Source organism: Homo sapiens, chromosome 6 (genome assembly GCF_000001405.40).
Source record: "Homo sapiens chromosome 6, GRCh38.p14 Primary Assembly".
Taxonomy (NCBI): domain Eukaryota; kingdom Metazoa; phylum Chordata; class Mammalia; order Primates; family Hominidae; genus Homo; species Homo sapiens.
Genome location: NC_000006.12, coordinates 41,413,722 through 41,436,580, shown reverse-complemented (window position 1 = coordinate 41,436,580; position 22,859 = coordinate 41,413,722). Strand labels below are relative to the sequence as shown.

The following is a 22,859-nucleotide window of genomic DNA, read 5'->3' as shown; positions in this document are numbered from 1 at the left end:
AGGTCAGGAGATCGAGACCATCCTGGCTAACACGGTGAAACCCCGTCTCTACTAAAAATACAAAAAATTAGCCGGGCGAGGTGGCGGGCGCCTGTAGTCCCAGCTACTCGGGAGGCTGAGGCAGGAGAATGGCGTGAACCCCAGGGGGCGGAGCCTGCAGTGAGCCGAGATTGCGCCACTGCACTCCAGCCTGGGCGACAGCGAGACTCCGTCTCAAAAAAAAAAAAAAAAAAAAAAAAAAAAGAAATTTCAAGCATATACTAAAGTAGACAGAACAGTATACACAGTCCCTATGCATCCCATCACCCAGCCTCAACATAGAGCAATTCATGGTCAATCTTGTTTCTTCTTCTTCTTCTTTTTTTTTTTTTGAGACAGAGTCTCGCTCTGTTGCCCAGGCTGGAGTACAATGGCGCGATGTGGGCTCACCGCAACTTCTGCCTCTTGGGTTCAAGCGATTCTCCTGCCTCAGCCTCCCAAGTAGGTGGGATTACAGGCGTGTGACACCACGCCCAGCTAATTTTTTTTGTATTTCTAGTACAGATGGGGTTTTGCCATGTTGGCCAGGCTGGTCTTGAACTCCTGACCTCATGATCCGCCTGCCTCAGCCTCCCCAAGTGCTGGGATTACAGGTGTGAGCCACTGCGCCCAGCCTTTGTGTCTTCTATATTCTGTCTCTCCCTGTATTCTTTTGAAGCAAATCACAGACATTATATTATTTCAGCCATAAACATTTTATATAAATCTGGAAAAGATAAGAGCTTTTCAAAATATCTTAAATACCTTTATTACATACAAAAATTAAGTCTGTAACTGCACACCTAGCACCCAGAGCTAGGTTCCAAGGAAATGAAACGGCTCCTTGGAGAAATGGCTGAATCTGAGACTAGGGCAGGAAAATATACAAGAGGAATTTGGAGGTCTTATAGTTCCAGAAAGTATGGAAATGCTTAAAACAAAACAAAGGAAAACAAAAAAGCCAAAACAAAACTCCCACATTGATGGGGGTATGTCAAAGGAACACAGGAGCCAACTGAAATAGCTCCCAATGGCCAAAACTGGAACAATCTGAGCGAAAAAAATAAATATACTAGTATTGGATTATTACCCAAAGTATAAAATAAATATCCCCGAGTCCCTGCTGATATAAATAATTGAATAAATAAATAAATGGAGGAGAAGAGAGAACTCTCGCATGCAGAAGAAATCCAAATCTTTTATGGAGACACTTTGTCCTCATGGAGGAGGAGCGTTAACTCCCCATGGCTTCTGTGTGGGCTGCGCATAGTGACTTCCCTCCAAAGAGCACAGTAGGAGAAGCGTGGTGGGAAAGCCTAACTTTGCAATGAAGTAATCTGGTAAGTTACTTGCCGAAGCACTACCCCAGCCAGGTAATGAAGGGCAACATAACAGTCACAAAACTTGCTATATACAATGTGATACAAATGGCACTTTATCTCTGTGACCTTCCTCCCCATTTTTTTAACCCTAGTCTAGTCATGAGAAAAACATCAAATTCCAAGAGAGAAACATTCCTCAAAATACCTGATCAGTACTCCTTGAAACTGTCAAGGTCATCAAAAACAACGGAGGCCTAAGAAACTGTCACAGGAAGCGGAGGGGGGAGGGGCATAAGGAGACATGACGATTAAATGTGGCATCCTGAAGGAGGTCCTGGAATTAGAAAAGAACATTAGGTGAAAACTAAGGAAATATGAATTCACTGGGGGGTTTTAGTTAATGTATCAGGCCAACCATGGTGGCTCATGCCTGTAATCCCAGCACTTTGGTAGGCTGAGGTCAGAAGATGGCTTGAGGCCAGGAGTTCAAGACCAGCCTGGGCAACATGGCGAGACTCCCACATCTTTACTTTAATAATAATAGTAACAATAGTAATGTATCAATACTGGTTTATTAATTCTAATGAATGTACTATCCCAATATAAGATGTTAATAATAGAGGACACTAGGTACAGGGGGTATATGGGAACTCTCTGTACTATTTTCTCAATTTTTTTTGTAAACCAAAAACTCTTCTAAGAAAAGGTTTATTATTAAAAAATTAAGTCTTGGCCAGGCGTGGTGGCTCACACCTGTAATCTCAGCACTTTGGGAGGCCAAGGCGGGTGGATCACGAGGTCAGGAGATCAAGACCATCCTGGCCAACACGGTGAGACCCCATTTCTACTAAAAATACAAAAATTAGCTGGGCGTGGTGGCGCATGCCTATAATCCCAACTACTCGGGAGGCTGAGGCAGGAGAATCGCTCGAACCCAGTAGGTGGAGATTGCGGTGAGCTGAGATGGCGCCACTGCACTCCAGCCTAGTGACAGAGCAGGAGTTGGTCTCAAAAAAAAAAAAAAAAATTAAGTGTTTAATATCCACAAATATCCAGTCAGTGTTCACATTTTCTGTCTTTCTTTCTTTCTTTTTTGAGACCGAGTCTCGCTCTATTGCCCAGGTTGGAGTGCAGTGGCACCATCTCGGCTCACTGCAACTTCTACCTCCTAGGTTCAAGTGATTCTCCTGCCTCAGCCTCCCGAGTAGCTGGGATTACAGGCATGCAGCATCACGCCCAGCTAATTTTTGTATTTTTCGTAGAGATGGGGTTTCACCATGTTGCCCAGGCTGGTCTCAAACTCTTGACCTCAGGTGATCGACCCATCTCAGCTTCCCAAAGTGCTGGGATTACAGGCGTGAGCCACCACGCCGGGCCCAACTTTTCCATTGTGTCATAAAACATAGGATTCAAATTAAGTCTCTGCCTTGATATTGGTTATGGACCAAATTTTGAATGAGGTGATATAAATTATTAGGGGAGAAAAACATCTAAATTGCATGATACATAACTTGGGCAGGAGAATTCGGGGCAGGAGGTGCGTGTGGATTTGGTAGTCTTGGCTTGAGCAGCATGGTAAGGGGAAGAGGGGGCAGAATAAAGTCTCAGGGTGGAGACATGGGGAGAAGTGGCCCCAAGTCTTCAATCAAAGGAAAGTTGTCTGGGTGCGGTGGCTCATGCTTGTAATCCCAGCGCTTTGGGAGGCCGAACTGGGCGGATCACCTGAGGTCAGGAGTTCGAGACCAGCCTGGCCAACATGGTGAAACCCTGTCTCTGCTAAAAATACAAAAATTAGCTGGGCGTGGTGGCGGGTGCCTGTAATCCCAGTTACTTGGGAGGCTGAGGCAGGAGAATCACTTGAACATGGGAGGCGGAGGCTGCAGTGAGCTGAGATTGTGCCACTGCACTCCAGCCTGGGTGACAAGAGCCATAGTCCACCTCAAAAAAAAAAAAAAAAAAAAAAAGGAAAACTGACAGATATAACGGGCGCCTTGAGTGATAGATTCAAGGTCTTGTAAGTGCCCTGTCTCTTGTCCACTGTATTGTCATTGATCTGCCTGCAGGATGATATCATTATAGGGCTCAGCAAAGGGGACGTGAGCTTTAGACTCAGCTCTGAGATCAAATCATTGCTCTGCCACCTCGGCAAGTAACTTAACTCCTCTGAACTTCAGTTTCCTCATCTACAAAACTTGACATATTTTCAATCTTTTAGGGCTATTGTGAAGATTAAATGCAATAGTACAGCTGAAAGTGCCTGAGATTGTGTCTTTCCTCTCTCTTTCTCAGGGCAGAAGAAAAAGGTAGACTATTGCTGATCTAACAAAAATATTTATTTTGAAGAAAAGTGGGGTAAGGGGTGGTCACATGCACCTGGGGAGCAGGAGGCCTCCTTGGCAGAGGGTGCATGTCGCTCTTTGAGAGGTGAGCTCTCGGAGGGGGTTTTGATAATAATCGGAGGCCAAATTGTCATTGGGGCCAGCTGTTGCTGGGCCTGGAAGGTGCTGGATCCTTTAGGGGAGGCCTGGGTCCTGGCCTTGGGAGGAAGCTTCTGCTCTACCTTGGGGATCTTCACACAGGAAGCTGACTGAGGCTTCCTCCGAGGCTGGTCCCCCAAAGTGGTGGGCTTTTCTTTGGATGACAAGGAGGGGAAGTCTTGAGGGGTGGAGCAGGAGGCTGGGGTGGGGCAGGAGGCTGGGGTGGGCCAGGGGGGTGGAGCATCACCTTTGTCCTCAGGCTGTACTCACAGAGGGAGGGCCCAGAGATGGGGGGAAGGGAGAAATATTCTTCCCACCTCGGGGCCTGCTCCCTGGAGGACTTGGGCCAGGCCACCAGCCCCCCATACCGACTCCTGCCTGGGCACTTGGAGGAGTGCCTTGTTCCTGAGCAAAGGTGAAGGGATATTTGGATCAGAGTGGACTGGGAGAGAGAAGAGGCAATGACAGAGGAATCTGGAGAGAGAGAGAGAGAGAGAGAGAGAGAGAGAGAGGCAGAGAGGAGACAGGGACACCAGGGTGGGGATCAGAGATGGAGAGACAGCAAAGGAGGCCGAAGGCAAGAACATACACCCTGCTTCCTCCTCCACCTCCTCTTTGCCACAGATGTCCTCTGCTGATGGGGTCTCACACACAGGTTTGGAGGTGGAGCTCACCCAACGTTCCTCTTAAAGAAAAAAAAATGGAGAGAAGAGAGGGGACCCTCAGACCAGGAAGGGGAACCAGGATTGAGAGAAGCTCCTGGGTTTGGGGAAGATGTCAGAAACCCCCCATCTCCTCTCACCTCTCCCAGTTAGTCCTCTCGTCCCAGGTTCCTGTTTTAGGTCTGTGTATTCCAGGCTGTTTGAATGCTGTTCCCACCATCCAGAATACTTTGCCAGCCCCCTCTCTGCCTGATAAAAATTCTGCCAGTTATGCAAAGCCCTCTCAAAGCCTTAACCGTTCTTCACCTTGAAACATTCCTTGCTTAGGTCCTCCTAGCCCCTCGCTCCTTTCTGATGGTCGTGAGCTCATATTTGTACCTGGCATGTAAAGTATGCTGATTGAAATCTTATTTATTTATTTATTTATTTTTGAGATGGAGTTTCGCTCTTGTTGCCCAGGCTGGAGTGCAATGGCACGATCTCAGCTCACTGCAACCTCTGCCTCCCAGGTTCAAGCAATTCTCCTGCCTCAACCTCCTGAGTAGCTGGGATTATAGGCATGCACCACCATGCCTGGCTAATTTTTGTATTTTTAGTAGAGACGGGGTTTCTCCATGTTGAGGCTGGTCTCGAACTCCTGACCTCAGGTGATCCGCCCGACTTGGCCTCCCAAAGTGCTGGGATTACAGGCGTGAGCCACCATGCCCGGCCCTGAAATCTTTAATGTACCACAGTGGGTTTTTTACTGTATATCTTTCTCTCTAACTGGTATTTCCTTACAGGTTGGGACTTGCGGTCATCTCTGATTGTGCCTGTCCTTGAGAAGGATCTCTAAATTCACTTTCCAAATGGACAAAAGGTCATGGGACCCACCCCATTTCATCCTACCCTCTCTGGGGTGATAGCACGGGAAAGACAGCTGTGAGGGAAGAAGTACCCATCTACATCCTTCAAAGTCCAAAAGAATATGAGCTCAAGGGTGCTGGCCACACCTCCCAATCCCACTGTAACATCATACATGTGAGTCACACACCCCAGGGAGCCATTGTGGCTTCACCCTGGGTGAACTCTCTGGAAGTTTCTGCACCCAACTGTCCCCTAGATCCTCTGTGCCACAGATGGTCTTGCAGACAGAGCCCTCAGCTCGTCTGGGGGGCTCTTTCCTTCCCTGAGGGATGAGGCGGTTGCCCACTTTAAAATCCTTATGACGGACTCTGGAAAGGTGTTGGGATCTGGAGTTAGTCAGGGAATGGGCAGGAAGGGGCATCTGGCATATACCCCGGGGCCCCAAAACCTATGTCCAGGCCCTGGCAGTGACTCTCTGCAGTGCTTTAAGGGGAGGGCCTCTCACCTGAGCATGACACACTCAGGGCCCCACTTAAGCAGTAAGCAGTAAGGAAGACTGAAGGTAGGAAATCCAGATGGCTGAGAGAAGCCCTAAAGGAGAGGTGAGACCTCTAGGGTTGCTTGCTTTGGGACTCTGGGTACTGGCTTTCTCTTACAATTCACACTAGAGTCTTTGGCAGCAAGTGCCCTTTAGAATTCACCAGACACTGCCATTTTCTCTTTCTCAATAAGTAGCCCCCTTCCTCCCACTCCCCATTCCCATGGTGTATTTTTCCCCCTCCCAGGAAGCTGTCCTCCTACTGGGCCCAGTTGAGGGTGCTTTCTCCTTCTCCCCTTGATACCAGCCACCTTGAAGGCATTTCTATTTAGAGATTGACACGAAACTTACACAATAACCGAATTCAATTTGATTACAATGAGGCCCTGTATTTATACGGTAGTGTAGCTGGAATCCTGGAGTCTTAGGATTGAAATGGATTTCTGAGCAAGAGGCTACAGGAATTTCATTGGCAGCACCATGGGCTGGGAGTCTCCAGGCTGTGCTGGGACACTGGCAGTGACGGGAAACTCAGTGCCCCACACAGCCGCCCACTTGGCTGTGAAAGAATCCCAGGCCCCTGGAGATGCCTTCCTTCTACTGAAGCACAACCTGGACTCTGTTTTCGGGGTGTGTGTGTGTCTTTGGATGGGCACGGAGGAGGCACTACTAAGCACACAACCTCATTGAGAAAAAGAAGCTGTTTTTGTTATTGTTGCTGCTGCTTTCCTTCTCGCCACCGTTGTGGGTGGTGGAGTGCAGCATCACAAGAGGCTTGTCTAGCAAGAGATCCCTCAGCCGCAGGGGCTGGAGAGCCTGTGGTTTGAAGAGGGAGAGGGGAGAGGGAAGATTGAGTATAGGAGGGAGGAGGAACAAGGGCAAGAAAGTGGCCTGCACACAGGACTGCAGGGGGACGTGGAGGGAGGAAGGAGGCTTGGCTGGTAGGAAAACCTGAGGTCGTTGAGGGACAGAAGGAAACCTAGTGGTCTTTCATTCACAGAAATCCCTGGAGAAATTCAATCTTGGGCAAGGAACGTAATCTCCTGGAGCCTCAGTATCGTCAATCTGGAAAGTGGGTATAATATTTATAATATTATGCCCAACTTCCTAGGCTTGTGGGAGTCAAATGAGACAAATTGTGAAGTAGTGTCTGGCACATACTAGGTACTCAATACAATTCAGAAATAATATATTATTTGTAGTACTATATTATGTTACAAATAATATATTATTATTTACTCTTTTGGGAGCCCCAGCTCTCCTTTCAGCTTCAGAATCTGGGCTCCAGTTCTGCCTCTATTTAAAAAATCTGTGCCTCCCACGTGTGTGGTTCCTCTTCTTAGTGGCTCCCTGCCGCAGACAGCAGCCATCACTGGGTGGAGCAGGGCAGAGGCTCCCCTGTCCATTACTCAGGGTTTCCAAGGCTCTGGCAGGGACTCCCTCCTCCTCCTTTCCAGGCGGCTGCAGGGACAGGAAGTGGGTATGTTTGGAGGGGGAGGGAGTCTTCCCCCAGGGGAAGACTTATGGTGGGTGTCCACAGCATCCCAGAGCCCAGAGCTGGGACCTTCTGCTGCCCTAGCTGCACTGGGACCTGCTCCAGCATCCTCCTCTTCCAAGCCCTGCACCAGTGCCGATGGCTGCGCAGTTAGGCAACCTAGCCTGGGCTCCAGCACAAAGTTGCTGTGTGACCTAAGGCAAGTCTCTTCCCCTCTCTGGGCCTCAGTTTGCTCCTGTGATAACGGAGGCGATAAGAATTTTATTTCCATGATTTAATGGTGTAAGATAATCGGATGGGGAAAGAGAAGAAAGTTAAGGAAAGGAAAGATTTTACCAGTAGAGTCCAGGCACTGGTCTGCAAGGGAAAGCGTTTGGGTGAATTATCTGAATAACACTCCCTAATCAGCCGGGTGATCACAGGAGCGGAGGCCGGGTTTGAGCAACTCCCAGAGTCTGAGAACACATCTGTCCCTCTGCTTTCCTCCTCTGGTTCTAGCCCGGCCCCTTCCAGGGGCTTTAACCCTGTTTACAGAAATGGGAATTTGCATGATGAAAATAACCCCAGCCGGACTGCGATTTTACTGCGCTTGGCACAGGGCTCGGAAAAAGCGGCTGCATAGCCAATTACTGGAATTTTTAAACACAAATAATATTTTATGGGATCAGTGGGCTGGCGCGGGGCCGCCGCACCCGGCGCGGCTCCTCCGCCCACAAACAAGCTCCGATTGTGCGGCAGGCAAGCGCGCCAGCCCTGGGGTGGGGGTGTGGGGTAGAGGGGGCGGGGGTCCCTCCGCGGGCAGGTGCAGCTGAGGGCTAGGCCTCCCGGGCGCCGGACTGGCAAGGAGCGTCGGCGAGGCCCAGGCCCAGGGTCCGGTGTGCTGGGCATCCCGGCTCACCTGCAGGGCCAGCCAGGAAGCGTTTAGTGCGCGAGGGCGCGCCCAGCGTTAGCTCCCCCGCCTGGCGGCCGCCCGCTGGGCCTGGCCCGCGCCCCGCGCCCTTGGCATGGCCGTGGCCGCCGCGCCGCCTCCGGAAGGCCGGCTTCCCGGAACGCCCCGAAGGCGGCGGGGAGTCAGCGCCGAGGCCCCGGAGCCACCCCTCGCCTTCCCTCTCCCGCCCGAGCCGCCCTGGCGCGCTGGAGGCCGACCAGGGAGCCCTAAGGGGCCAGCGCAGGTCGAGAGCCACCACCAGCGGTAGCGGTACAGTGCTAGCCCTGGTGGTGCCCCTCGACAGATCTCCACTAGGGAGCCCCATTCTTGCTCTCTCCGAGACCGCCAGACCTGGCCCGGGGCCCCCGAGGCTGGCCGCACGCAGCCTGCGTCGCTCCCGGCGCTGGCTGCCAACGCCCCCGCTCCCCCTGCCCCTGCGCTGCGCACCCTGCCCCAGCGCGCACAGGGTTAAGCGGGAGCAGGTGTGTAGCCAGATGCCGCTGACCAGCCCCCTCCCTGGCAGCCGGGTCGGCCGCCTCCTCCTCCGCCCACCCGCTCAGAACCAAACAGTCCCAAATAAAAGTGCTATTGTTGCCGGGCCTTTCCCCACCCCCGTCGCTGCCCCGCCACCTGGAGCGGAGCCCGGTCCCCTCTTCACCTGCCCCGGGGCAGGCCGGGGGGAGGGGCGAAGGGGAAGTTGGGCCTCCCAGCAGGGACTTCCGCTCCCGTACCCCCCAGCTTCCCCTCTCCCAGTGCCCCCGACACCGACCCCTAGGCCTGGGGGTAGGCGCCCCCGCTTTGCGCTGAGGGGCTTCTTTCTGGCTAGACAGCCAGGTTCTGGCCTCACCCCCCACCCCTCCCTTTAGCCCCCATTCTCACTGGCTGGAGAAGCGGCGGGATTTACAAAGCCGGGAGAACACGGAGGTCTTGGACGATGCGCCCAGGACAGTGCCAGGCTCACTGGGGCTCAGCAATTGGCAGGTGGTATTGCTTTTTTAAAAAACATTATTTGTCCAGCAACAAGCCAAGGAAGGTAGGGGCAAGAGCGATGCCCTTTACAGACAAGGAAACTGAGGCACAGAGAGGCAAAGTGTCTAGCCCAATGACAAGCCTGGTAAATGTTGTGGCTTCGCACAAAATTCAGGTCCTCTGACTCCAGCCCCGACACTACAGGGTCTCCGGTGCTCATCTGACGGGCTAGAATGGAGGAGAGACCCCAGAGACTGGGAGTCTAGCGCCGCCCTGGACTCGCCGTGGGACCTTGGGCGAGTTACCTCTCCCCTCGGTTTCTCCGTTCTTAAATAGAGATGGGTAGACTGTCGTGGTTCCTGAATTCTCACGTTGACACTTGGAATCCAAGGGGCTGCTGGCCCCCAGAAGACTGGGGGCCCTGGGTGGGACTCTATGCGTGAGCTCGGCCTGCGCATGGAAAGGAAAATGTTTCCTCTTTCGCTCCCCTTCTCCCCCAGCTTTCTCCGCCCTGCCTCCATCCCTTCCCTGCAGGCCCCCAGGAGGCTGAACTGCGAGGTTAAATAAATATCTGACGGTGGCTCAAGGAAACAGTCAAGACCGTTGCGAGAGAAGAAACCCAGACCTCGGTGGAGATCCGCTCCTAAGCCCAGCAGCCCCCACTCCGGCCCAGTTGCATGCTGAGCCCTTGGCCCCCTCGGGCCTCACCCAACTTCCCCAAGATAGCCAGCCCCCTCCAGTACGGCCCCTCTCCTCTGACCTCCTCCAGCTCTGGCGCTGGTAGAGCTAGAGCTAGAGCTAGAGCTAGGGCTAGGGTAGTGCGCTCAGGGTTACCGTATTTCCTCTTTGCGTTTTAGGTTTTGAGCGCAGGTATTTAAATTCTCCAGCCCACGGGAGAGTACTCTACGTACTGTGAAAAGAACTCTGTTGGGAGTCGAGAGATGTGAGATTTTGGTTTTGTTCTCTTAGCTCTACTATTAATCTTGCTCCTGACCTGCAGATCCATAAATCCAGTTTCCTACTTCACCTGGATATCTAGCAGGCATCTCAAACTCAACTTGTTCTACTTGGAAATCCTGATCTCCACCCCGGTCCCCCACCTGTCAGTCTTCTCCATCTCAGAAAAGGGCAGCTTCATCTTCCCAGTTGCTGGGGAAGAAAATCTTGGAGTTATTCTCAACTCCTCTCTTTTTCTGTCATCATTCATCCAAATGCCTTAGCAAATCTTGTTTATTTTGTCTTCAAAATATGTCCAGAATTTGCTACTCTTCACCACCTCCTCACTGAGCTCACTGTTCCAAGCCACCATCGTCTCCTGCTAGAGTAGTGCAACACCTCCTAGCTTGTCTCTCTGCCTCCCTTCTCCCTCTTAGTCTGTTCTCAACAGAGTAGCCAGGGTTGTCCCTTTAAAACTAAAGTCAGATCATGTCCCTATTCTGCTCAAAACCTCCAATAGCAGTATATCTCACTCAGAGAAAATGTTCCTTACAAAACCCTAGTGATCTGATCACCCCTCTGCCCCTTCTTGTCACCCTTCACCTCCTCCTCATCACTCTACTCCAGCCATACCTGCCTCCTAGATGTTCCCTGGGCAGGACAGCACACTCCTGCCTCAGGACCTTTGCACTTGCTGTTCCCTCCAGATTCCTACAATGGTCTCCTCTCTGCTGAGGCTTTCTCTGACCAATGTCCCACCCCAATGCACACACCAGGCTCTCCACCTCCCTTGCCCTGCTCTGTTTTTCTTAGTTGCGCTTGTCATCATCTAACCTGCTGCATATTTACCTGATGATTTGTGTATCTCCTTCTGTTAGATTGGAGGTGCTGTGAAGACAGAGGCTTACAAAAAGTCTCAGCCCTTAGAACAGGGCTTCACACAAATAGGCACTCAGTAAGTATTTGTTGTAGGAATGAGCTAGTCACTTTCCCTTCCTGAGCCTTACTTTCCTCACCTGTGCAAGTGAATTGGACCCATTGAAAGTCCCCCTCAGCTTTGAGTCTCATGGTAAGGGATGAACATTGTGAGAAGGTGAGAGGGAGAGGTAGACAATGGCACAAAGCTGTCAGTTAGCTCTGTGTTGGAGTGGAGCAATGCATGGCAGAGAAGGCTTACTCCAGGGAGGCCCAGAGGGCCCACATATTCATTCGTTCATTCATTCATACATTCATTCATTCTTCACTCATTCAAGAAGTGTCCCTCAAGATCCCTGGTGTGCTCAGCCTGGGGCAAATCCATGGGGGGCGGGGGGCGGGGACATGTAGAGTAAGACCTGGGCCATCAACAGCTCTGCCCCATGTTGGCTGTGTGTCCCTAGGTGAGCCTAGGATCTCTCAGAGACTAGGCTGTCTCACCTGTAAAGGTCATAGATAATTTCACCTGCCCTACAGGACTCACGAATTAGACTGAGTGTCAAATGAGATAATCCCACCATACATACTTAAAGTGTATGACTGAGAAACAAGAATGAACATATACATCAAGATCACAGTCCTTTGAGAACTTAGAGTATGGTCTTTGTAGCTTAGAGCCCTCTCCCTCCTATTTTCGCCTGGCTGTTGATGGGGTCCCTTGGGACTGACTGAATTTTATTTTTCCCCAGCCTTATACTTGAAATTGGCTTCCTTTCTGACCCCAGGCATCCAAATGAAGGCTCCCCCTCGTGGCATTTCCTGGAATAACAGGTCTCTGCACCTACTGAGCCTAGAGATGGTCAGCTAAACAGCACAGAAAGGAAGCAGGAAGAGGCCAGAAGAGAGAGAGTCTGAAGACTTAGGAAAGGGGCAGAGCAAACCTGCAAAGAAATGCTAGACTGGGAGGGACCTGGGACTGCCTCCTCACACCCCGTTTTACAGATGAGAAGCTGAGGTTCAGGGAAAGGGAGGTTAGAGGCAGGACTGTAACTCAGGAATCTACACACTCCTGTGCTGGTTTCTTTACCCCAAGTACCATAGGCATTTATACAAGTCAATGAGCAAACAGTATAGATGACAAATTCCCTCTACATCTGGCAGCATCCCCTGAGGGCCTCTGACTATGCAGTATTTTCTCCCAGGACGAAGATTCCCAAATGTCAAAGACAGCATCCGGAGAGGCTGGTATAACTTCAGATCTAACCTATTTCAGAGGCAGAGGTTAAAGATAGACAATTCACCTGGATTTTTCTCTTCTTACTGGGGTATGGGTGCAGGGGTGAGGGTGGGCACACAACTAAATCCAGTCCTACTTAGAGATCCAAAATGACCAACTCAATCAGAGGGATGCGTGTGTGTGTGTGTGTGTGTGTGTGTGTGTGTGTATGTGGTGTTACAATTGCAAGTAAGAGTGCCTTATAAAGTTTCTTTTTTTCACCTGCATCTTATAATTTACTCCTCACTGCTAGTATTAGCCATTTCAGAGATGACAACAATGAGCTACCAAAGGACCAAGTGATTTGCTCAAGATCAGAAAGAATATTAGGGAAAGACCAATGTAGTGCATACAGAAGGCACTCAATATGTACTCAATCACCTATCCATAAGACTTCTTTGTTTTATTGAGTTGACTTTGGGAGGAACTCTTCCCAATCTGAGGTTGCTTCCCACTGTGCGGGAGATTCATCCTGCCTTCCTTGGATCCTGGCAGCCTGGAGGGGCCTCTGGCTCTCTATTTAAGGCAAGCGGGGAAGTCGGGCATGACCACAAAGAATGTAGCAGCAGAAGAGGGTGCAATGATGGGGTGGGCAGGGGAAGAGACTACTTGCCTCAGTTGAGCTGAGGGGCTTCCAAATAGCCTCCACTGGCTGGCTGATGGGAGGCCTGGTCTTCTGATCACCCTGGGGAGCTTGGGACCACTATGAAAATACGCTGATGTTGTCTAGGAGCCAGGAGTAAATCTTATTGTCCTATCCCCTTGATATATCAGCAGGGTGCTCAGTAGGTGGAGGAAATCCTGGAACTGGGTTCTGGTGCTTAGGTTCAAGTGCTTAACTTCAAGTGTGACCCTGCAGTTGTTGTAGAGCAGTGGTTGGGAACACAGGCTCTGGAGCCAGGCTACCTGGGCTCATGTGCCAGCTTCCCACTTAATATATCTGTGACCTTGACTGCACCTCTTGGAGCCTCAGTTTTCTTATCAGTAAAATGGGGAATCATAGTACCTACTCAAAGGATTTTTGGATGCATTAAATGAATGAATCACATAAAGTATGTAGGAAAATGCCTGGCACATAGTAACTGCTCAGTAAATGTTATTGTTAGGAAAGACCCTTCTGTCTGGGTTACAAGATCATTACCTGTATGGTGAAAGAGATTGGGTTAGATCAGTTTTTTAGTTGCAGGGGCACAGCTCCCTGGAGAAGATTTTGTTTTGTTTTGCAGGAAGGGAAAAACTATAGAAAGTAAAACTTGGTAAAACATTCTGTTGGTGCAGCTTGCAGAAGATTTCACTGTTTTCCCAAAGGGGCATGAGTTTACAAGATGGATTCACAGAATTGGAGCATCTTAGGATCTTAGGAGCCTCAGATGCTCAGGGCTGTGACATTATTCTGTTGCTCTGGGGTTATCCTCTCCATCTAGACGGTGATGCCATCAGGGCAGTATCGTGCTGGATTATTGGGAAAGCCAAGGCCAAACCTGGCAGCTCAAGCCTTGGTACCTAGAGTGTCTCTTGGGGGGGGGTCCCAGGGTACTGAGTGTCATGGATTGTCCTGCACTCAGCCTGTCCCTGGGGGCTGGATTTGGGTGGAAGAGGAAGGAGAGGCCTTTGTAGGAGAGGGACAGGCAGGCAAAGCTCCTTGCCGGTCATGTTTACTGAACTGCACTGAATTATGACTAAATGCCAAGATCTGGCTTCAGGCAATTGCCTAAATCATTTAGGGGTTGACAGGGAAGGGAGGGAGGGGACATGGGGAGCTGGGGGGGAGAATGTTCTTGTAATTCTTCAGTCTGAGGTACATTAAGGAGCCATAAGCCATGTCGAGAGCTTGAATTACATTAGAGAGATTATCCTGTTACAGTTCATAATCCTGGATAATATACCGTCTTGGAGCACACCTGCCTGTGATAAATCTCGCCCTGTAATGGCCTGACCCTGGGGACCCAGGGATGCTGGGGCAGCTGGCAGGGGTTATCAGAGTGGACGCAGCCTCAGCAGAGGCACCTGTGAGTCCCATTGTCCTCCTTAGTGATCTTTGTGTCCTTTACTCCTGCCTCTGCCCAGAGGGAGTGGATGTAGCTGGGAGCTTCAAACTTCTCCATCTTTATTCAAGGTTCTTGGCTCCCTAAGGCCCCTCTACCTTAACTCCCACCCCATAACCCCACTCCCTGCTCTGGTGAGACAGGCTATTTGTGTTCCTGTCTCCAGACTCTCCTCTCTCTAAATGCTTTCCCCTTAATCTCTCCAAACCCAGCCTGGCATGTCCTGGTCAATGGAGACCTCTCTGAGAACCTGCACTAACATCCTCCTTGGCTCCAGCTCAAGTACTGACTCTCTGATGTGAATGGGTGTGTTACCCGCCACCCAAGGGGTCTGCCAACCTTTTCTGAGTCTCTGACTCTCCAGCTAGACTGCTGATGCCGTGAAATCAGGAACCATGACTACTTCCGCAGCACTTAGCACAGACAGGCTCAATAGCCATGCAACTGGTTAATGGCAGAATCAGGGTTTGAACCCCAGTTGACTGGCTTCAAAGTTTGCAGCTACTGCAGAACACTGTCTCTCTGACCCGAGAGCCCTGTCCTGTGTCATTTGTAGGTCTAATCGCAATTTCTATGAGCTGTTAAATCCTTCCTAGACTGTATTTGCCTTGCATTGGGAAACATCACAAGCCAAAGGGATGACTCTCTCATGGTATAGCTTAGGGTGGGATGGCACCCAAGCCTCCCAGATTTATCCTCAGCCTTTTCAAGAGAAACAGCCCACTGAGAGAGCTCATTCACATTGCCCAATTAGCTTGGTCAGCTCTCTCCCACTTCCAGCCGATTGCTCAGTTTCCAGCTCTTGGGAGGCCTGGCAGTATCTGGGTACCTGCCATATGTTCCTAGTATCTCTCTGCATGACACCCTAAACCCCACCTGCCTCAGGCTCTGCTTTATCCCTCCCACCTGCCTTCCCCAAACACATACCATGTTGCACCTTTACCAGGAGACAAGTGGAGGGCACCTTTCTGGGCTTCTTGAGGTTAGCTATGCTACTGGGGCTTCGGCTAACCCAGGCCATCAAGATCTTCCAAAAGGAGGCACAGCTACCATTTATGAAGTACTCACTAGGTGCCAAGCACTGGGTTATGCTTTTCACCTGATCTATCTCATTTATCCCATGCCAGTCTTATGAGCTAGGTGTTTCATGATTTCTATCTTACAGGTGAGAAAGCTGAGGCTCAGAGAGGTTTAATACGGTTCACAGGTCAATACCTAGTAAAGGGCAGAGCTGAATTTTTTTTTTTTTTTTTTTTTGAGATGGAGTCTTGCTCTGTCACCAGGCTGGAGTGCAGTGGCGCAGTCTCAGCTCACTGCAACCTCCAACTCCCTGGTTCAAGCGATTCTCCTGCCTCAGCCTCCTGAGTAGCTGGGATTATGGGCATGCGCCACCACACCCAGCTAATTTTTGTAGTTTTAGTAGAGACGGGGTTTCACCATTTTGGCCAGGATGGTCTCTATCTCCTGACCTCGTGATCTGCCCGCCTTGGCCTCCCAAAATGCTGGGATTACAGGCATGAGCCACTGTGCCCGGCCAATAGAGCTGACATTTAAACACATGCCTGCTAGCCCCAAAGCATGTGTGCTTAACCCTTGATGCCACACTGGCTTCTCATGGTGAGTGCAGGCACCCCAGGCTGCCTCCCCAGCTCTACCTCCCAAGCCTACCCTTCTCCATCCCTTCTCATCCCCGTAGCCATTGCTAGCAGCCTCCTCCCGGCCCTTCTGTTGCCAAGTTCCAGAACTCCCCCACATTCCAAGCCACTCCGTGCTTCATGGATTCATTCCCTCTCTCTGTACTTCCACATTATTCATCCAGAGACGGGAACCATAGCAGTTTGATCATCCACCCATCCATTCATTCCCATCATTCATTCATGGAATCCTGAAATGTCAGGGCTAGCAGGGGCCTTAGAAATTATCTGGTCCAGTAGTTTTGCAACCACAATGCATTTTTCAAAGAAAATCTTCTGTAAATGTTCCATAGAGAAATCAGATCAACAGTGGTGGTGGCGGGTGTTGTGGGGGGTGGGAGGCAGCTACTAGACTCCTGCCTTCTTGGTCCCACCTCATCCACTGCAACCCCCCTGCCCTGGACTCCCAGTGTACAATTGGGAAGCAGCTGCTCTCCGCTTCCTCTCATAGTGTACAGCAGGGCACTGAGGTTCAGGAATAAAATGAGTTGCGCTACTGGTCAAGGGCTATTTCCAGACACCTAGTCGATGACAACCTGTTGCCTTCAGCAACTAACTGAGGGTTAACTGTTGCAACAACTCATTTTCCTCAGGCTCTGAGTTTCCCAGACCTAGGCCCTAGCCTCAGCTGCCACTTGCTAATTAAAAAGCTACACAACCTTGGGAAAGTAATCACATAACATTTATAGCCCTCCATCTATTTCCTCCTCCTCTGAAAAATGGGGAAAATAACAGGACCTGCCCGTTTTTAGTGTTCTATTGCTATGTAAAAAAAAACACCCCAAAACACAGTGGCTTAAAACAACCATCGTACTATCTTTCCTAGGACTGTGGGCTGGCTGGGCTCAGCTGGGTGATTCTTCTGCAGGTCTTTCTTAGAGTTTCAGCCTGATGGAGGCTGGGGCTGCAGTCAGCGGAGGACTGATTGAGATGCTGGGATGGCTGGACCTGTTGCTCTCCAGGCATCCTCAGGGCCTCTCTTCTCCACATGGTCTTTCCAGTTGGCTAACCAGACTTTGTACATAGCATCTCAGAGCTCCAAGATGCACAAAAGTGGAAGCTTCCAGGTTGACTTAGGGCTTAGGCCCAAAGTGGCATAGCCTCACATCTGCAACATTCTATTAGTGAAGTAGTCAAGGGAAAAGGAAATAAACTTTACCTCTCAGTGGGAGAATGACCAAAAATTTGTAGTAATTTTTAACTTACCACAGTCTGTGTGACCATGAACAAGAAAATTACTTAACCTTTCTAATTTTCCCATCTATGAGGAATAAGTACATCAATCCATGGAAAGTGCTTAGAACAGTACCTGGCACCTAGTAAGCACTCACATGTTAACTGGTGCTATTTTTATTTCTAACCCGTATGCCTAGCAGTGTGCTAGGTAACTGGTGGTGATGGTGGGGTTACAAGAGTAATGGCAAACACAGTTTATACGTTTATACTCTTGATAATAAATAATCTAGTTCATGAGATAAAATTAACACACAGAGAGATCAAAGTACTAATTCAAGGCATTGTGTAATTAAGGAACCCATGAGAGGTACAGATAACATATACTTGAGGAAGGTGGAGGACAAAGAGATTGGATATGGGGGCTGGGTGGCCAGTGAAGGCTTTAAGGAGGAAGAGGGTGCCCTTGAGAGGCAGAGTAGTGTAATAGTTAAAAGTGTAGATTCTGAAGCCAACCTCCTAAGGTTTGATAAGTTTTCACATCTTAGCTTTGCCACTTTCTGGATGTGCCTATGTGATTTTAGCAAGTCGCTTTGCATCTCTTTGCCTCAGTTTCCTTTCTGTAAAGTCTATCCATCTTATAGGGCTCAAGTGAAGAGTAAATGATTTATTTCTTATAAAGGGACTAGAACAATGCTGGACATGTGTTAAGTACTCAACAAAGTTGAGTTAACCTCAAAACCCCTAAAGAGAGGAGAGATTAGGTGGAGGGAAGAAACAGAGGCCTCCAGATGGATAAAAACAGTGACTGCATGTGTAAAGTAGGAAGACGGACGTGTCATGCTCAGGGACAGAGAGCCGCTTTGCACAGGAGGAGATGTTTCTAGAGGGTGGCAGGGGTGATGGTGGTGAGGATGGTAGGGGTAGCAGGAGCGAAGGTAGAGAGGAGAGTGAGGGGCAGACTGCGGGAGACTTTGAGTCCAGCTTTAGCAATCTGGACTTGATCCTTCCAGGCAAAGGGAAGCTATTGATGGTTTCTGACAAGGGAAGGATGCCATCTGGGCTATGTCTTAGAAAGAGACTCCTGGTAGTGGTGTGCAAGTGGGTTAAAGAGAGGGAGACAGTTTAGGAGGCTGTTGTCACAATTCAGCCATGAAATGGGGATGTCCTGAACCAGAATGGAGGCAGAGGGAAAGTACAGGGACTGGCAGCCTGGAGAGGGAATTACCGCAAGCTCTAGGGGAGCCCTTGCCTCCTGCCCATCTGACCCACCATGGCTGGCTGCTGGCTTCTGCCCTGGCTTCCTCCCTTCTGGGCCAGCCTTGAAGTCTGTATTCAGGGAGGGGCAAGGCACCAGGGAAGCACAGGGCCAGCTCCACAGCCAGAGCCTGGACTGGATCCTGCCTGGTCTTACCTGGACCAAAAGGAGCAATTCTGGAAGCTTGGCTGTGGCCCAAGCCGGGCTATGGGCCTGGAGTGGCAGATTGTGAGCAGGGACCCAGCACTGACTCTGTGTGTGTGTGTGTGTGTGTGTGTGTGTGTGTGTGTGAGTGAGAGAGAGAGAGAGAGAGAAAGAGAGAGAGAGGCTGAGAGGCTGAGAGTGTGTGACAAAGAGGAAAGACGGAGGACCATATGCCTATTTTCTTTGAGGAACAGCTGTCTCCTCAAGTGGGTGAGAGAGTCAGTAAGAGAGGGGAAGTGGGGTTAGAGGGTCAGCTCCACATTCACAAATACATTGTCACAGGGCCCTTGTATGTGAGTCAACTTTTCTAATTTTCCAGATATGTTCCTTTTTTTCCCTCCCTTTCTAAATCTTTCCTTTTCCACTTCTTTTTCCTTTCTCTCTCCCCTGAGCTCACACACTCACACACAGCCTCAGGGCTGGGTATTCCTCTGTCTGAGGGTCCTGGAGAGGGGTGGGATGGCCACAGAGCAGGTAACTTTCTCTGTTCCACCCCTGCTGGGACTTGCCCTGGGACCACACCCTCCCCTCCTTCCCTCTTCCAACAAATACTGAATGCTCTAGGTGCTGGTCCAGGCCCAGGGACAAGCTTATTCTAGAGTCCCCCTTACCCAGTGCCTTTGCTTTGGAAGAGTGGGACAGGAAGGGACATCTTTGGCTTAATGTTCAGGGATAAAGTACCAGAAGAACGAGCTCCCTCGGTGCTCTTTTCTGGTTTGCCCCTTCTCTTCCTGTTGTCTGCTCTTCCGTCCCACTTTTTTTTAGGTGAGAAGAGCAGAGAAACTGGAGTCAGAGAAGCCGGGGTTCAAATCCCAGTTCTGCCTCTTTCAAGCTGTGGGATCTGCAGCAAGATGCTCCACCTCTCTGACAAAGACTGGAATAACCTTCATTTCTGGAGGTTGGGAGAATTAAACGGGAAAATCAGTCTAAATGCCTGGCAAAAGCACCTCTGTCTGTTTTTCTTCTTGTTTCTTTTTCCTTATCCCATTTCCTTTATTCATTAAGGAACTGCTTACTTAATGAAGGAGGCTTCGTTGTGCTGGAGCCGGAGGAGAGGAGCAGGGGTCCTGGTTGAGGCACCGCAGGAAACAAGACTCCAGCCTGAGCCTCACAGCCTCACAGCCTCCTCCCTTGGGCCCCTGCCTTCATCATGTCCTGTCTTTATCCTTCAGGAAGTGGGGAGCCAATGAAGGTTTCTGAGCAGGGGAGTGACTGAATCTCAGACCTGTGCTTTAGCACCTATGATCTGGTCGGGTGGGGTACTGGGGGGACTGGGACATGGTGTGTGTGTCTGGTGGGTGGAGGGAACGGGGCCGCAGGAGCCTGTCATGCCCTCCTTTCCTCCACCTTCCTGTGTCCTTCACCGTGACTCTCTTCTTTCCCCCTCTGTCTCTCCTCCGCTCCCTCCATTCCTCTCTCCCCTTCAGCTCCCCCTGCGGCTTGCCAGCTGCCAGCAGATGACATCTCCTTTCATGTTTGGGGCTGAGCACAGCTTTGAATGTTCGTTTGATTCCGTTAAGATAATAGCTGGTTCACTGTCAGATGCAGACTGATCAGTTAAAACCTTAATCACTGCCTGTCTCCTCACTCGGCACTTATTTTTTAAGAGATTAATCCCCTCAGCCCTGCTCCAGCTCACATTCAGCTTGGAAAAAAAAAAAAAGGCAAGGTTTGTGTTATTCTTGTTATTATTATTGTTATGATTGTCACTCTCATTATTCTGCGTATTAACTCTGTCCCTCTCTGCCCTTTCAACTATTCTTTCTTTTTTCTCCCCCGTGGTTTCCCAGTCTTCCCCTCATCTCACTTGTATATTCTCTCTCTCTCTCTCTCTCTCTCACACACACACACACACACACACACACACTCTGATGTGGCTTTCCAGATCCAGTGTGAGATATGTCCAGATATTGATATAGTGTGAGTATATACAATTCCCCTGCACACACCTTCCCTACCTCCACGTGCACACCCGGGTGTTCAGCACAGGGACAGGACACAGGACACAGGTCCAGGCACCCAGGCACATGTGGTCCAGGGAAGCCAGGAGATACAGCTCTGTACCATGGGCAGAGTCTAATATTTGGGATCAGGCACATGTGCCCTGATTCTCTCTCAGAGACTCGCTTGCTTTGTGACCTTGGAGAGAAGTCTTACTTTCCTCATCTGTAAAATGGGATAAGAGCACTCACTTCAGGGAGGCTGTGAGCACTGAATACAAGACAACATATAGGCTACCCACAGCAGGGCCTGGCACAGGGTGGCAACTCAGTGTCATTCCGGTTCCTTGTTCCTACCTCCCACGCTCCATGGAAAGATCCTTTCTGGAGGTTGCCCGGTCCCTCCTCCCCCACAAGATGCTGTACCCTCTCTGGGCCATTTTACAGACACTTCTCACTTTATTACCTATCTCAGCAGTCAAGCCTTACCCAGGATCAGGGAAGGATATTCTGCTTGACACTGACCTGTGAAGGTTGGAGTTTACAATTTGCAATTAAAGCTAGAATTTTACAGAGGAAAGTAACCCAGGGGCCATCCAGTCCAAACCCTCAAAGTACATGAAGAGAGAAAGGCTCAGAGAGGGGCTGACTTGCCCTGGGCCACACAGCAAGTTATAGCAGGGCTGGAAGTGGAATTCCGCCCTGGCTTTGCATGCATCACCCAGGGAGATTCAGCCCAGAAGCCAGCCATGGACTCAGCAATTACTATGTGCCCAGCCCTAAGCCATTAGAGAGAGCAACCAGGCTATGCCACACTGGATGTTACCCAGGGTGGCAGAGACCTGTTTCTGATCCAAATGGTACTGTGGGCATAGCAAGGCTTTCTGAAGTGGGTGGAGTGGGGGATTTGGGCTAGCAGGACACTTAGACAGGGAGATAGAAGTGAGTGTCTGAGGGCCACCGGGGACACCAGCCCCATTTCTGGGTTTGAGGGCATGCAGCATATCCTGGACTGAGCGAGATGATCTGACAGAGGCCAGGAACTGTCTGTAGGCTCCATCTCCTTGGAACTGGGAAAACAAAGCATGAGGTGGTATTTGCAGTTGCAGAGAGTCATGAAAGGTAGGGGGAAGAAGTTTCTAACCCTGAGGACTGAGAAGAGATGACCAGAGAAGCCCAGCATCTGGGTCATTGGTGACATTCGTTTCTTCACAGTGAGGCAATAAGGTCTTCGGCTCTGGAGCCAGACCACCTGGGTTCCAATCACCTCTTTCCTTTTCCTCTTTTTCTTCTCATTCCTTCATCCTCGGCTTTGTCATTTTCTCTCTCTCCTTGTTCCCCTGTGTAAACTGAGGGCAGGGCCAGGTGTGTGATGGAATTCTCTAGACTAGGTTCGAGGTGACCTATACCCACAGGCATCGGCCTTTCCCTGGGGAGCTGGGGTTAGCACCCAGCCAGACTCTTGGACTAGAGCTGAGGTTGGAGGCAGGGAGTGACGACACCGTGGACAAGTCACTTCACCTTTCTGTGATTCCATTTTCTCCTCTAAAATAGGAATAATAATAATGTCTCTTAGCACTTGGCAGCTGATACATAGTAAGTGCTACATGAGTGTAAGTCATGACTATTTAGTAAAGATGTAGTGAACATGTAAATGTCCCAGGCCCTGCAGCAGGGGCTGAGGATACAGAGTTGAACAAGGCAGGCTCCCTGCTGTCAGTATGTGCTCAGCCCAGGGGGGAGGCAAGTAAGCTCCTAATTGTGGTCCCATGTGGGAGACACCTAGCCCACCTTCAGGGGATGAGGGACAGCCTCCTGGAAGGAGCAGCTTGTGGGCTTCATGAGGGTGGGAATTTGTTTTGTTCCCAGCTGCACTTCCAGTGCCTACAATGGGATCTGGTGTTCAGAGTAGGAGTTCAGTCAACTTTTGCTGAATGGACAAATGAACCAGCTGAGCGAGGTCCTAAAGGAGGAACAGGATGACAAACATCACTTCCATGGGTCTCAGTCTTCTCATGTATAAAATGAGGGCTTAGATAGGAGTCCAGGGACCTTCTGGCTATTCTCAAAATCCCTGCAACTCACAGGGTTGGGGATGGGGTATGGGGAAGCTTAGGAGGATGGGGTAGGGGAGTCCATGCCTATTGATGGGGGCAGGGGTAG

The 22,859-nt window shown here is 50.3% G+C and overlaps 6 annotated features.

Moving 5' to 3' along the window:
- Window positions 6,945–7,444: an enhancer, noted in NCBI's record as "H3K4me1 hESC enhancer chr6:41396875-41397374 (GRCh37/hg19 assembly coordinates)". NCBI's record gives its function as "activates a minimal SCP1, AML or CMV promoter by ChIP-STARR-seq in primed H9 embryonic stem cells {active_cell/tissue: H9 hESC(primed)}" and the evidence as "EXISTENCE:reporter gene assay evidence [ECO:0000049][PMID:30033119]".
- Window positions 7,226–7,285: a silencer, noted in NCBI's record as "silent region_17180". NCBI's record gives its function as "represses an Ori minimal core promoter by ATAC-STARR-seq in GM12878 lymphoblastoid cells {active_cell/tissue: GM12878}" and the evidence as "EXISTENCE:reporter gene assay evidence [ECO:0000049][PMID:35858748]".
- Window positions 8,186–8,255: a silencer, noted in NCBI's record as "silent region_17179". NCBI's record gives its function as "represses an Ori minimal core promoter by ATAC-STARR-seq in GM12878 lymphoblastoid cells {active_cell/tissue: GM12878}" and the evidence as "EXISTENCE:reporter gene assay evidence [ECO:0000049][PMID:35858748]".
- Window positions 8,286–8,985: a silencer, noted in NCBI's record as "silent region_17178". NCBI's record gives its function as "represses an Ori minimal core promoter by ATAC-STARR-seq in GM12878 lymphoblastoid cells {active_cell/tissue: GM12878}" and the evidence as "EXISTENCE:reporter gene assay evidence [ECO:0000049][PMID:35858748]".
- Window positions 9,905–9,984: an enhancer, noted in NCBI's record as "active region_24507". NCBI's record gives its function as "activates an Ori minimal core promoter by ATAC-STARR-seq in GM12878 lymphoblastoid cells {active_cell/tissue: GM12878}" and the evidence as "EXISTENCE:reporter gene assay evidence [ECO:0000049][PMID:35858748]".
- Window positions 12,007–12,226: an enhancer, noted in NCBI's record as "active region_24506". NCBI's record gives its function as "activates an Ori minimal core promoter by ATAC-STARR-seq in GM12878 lymphoblastoid cells {active_cell/tissue: GM12878}" and the evidence as "EXISTENCE:reporter gene assay evidence [ECO:0000049][PMID:35858748]".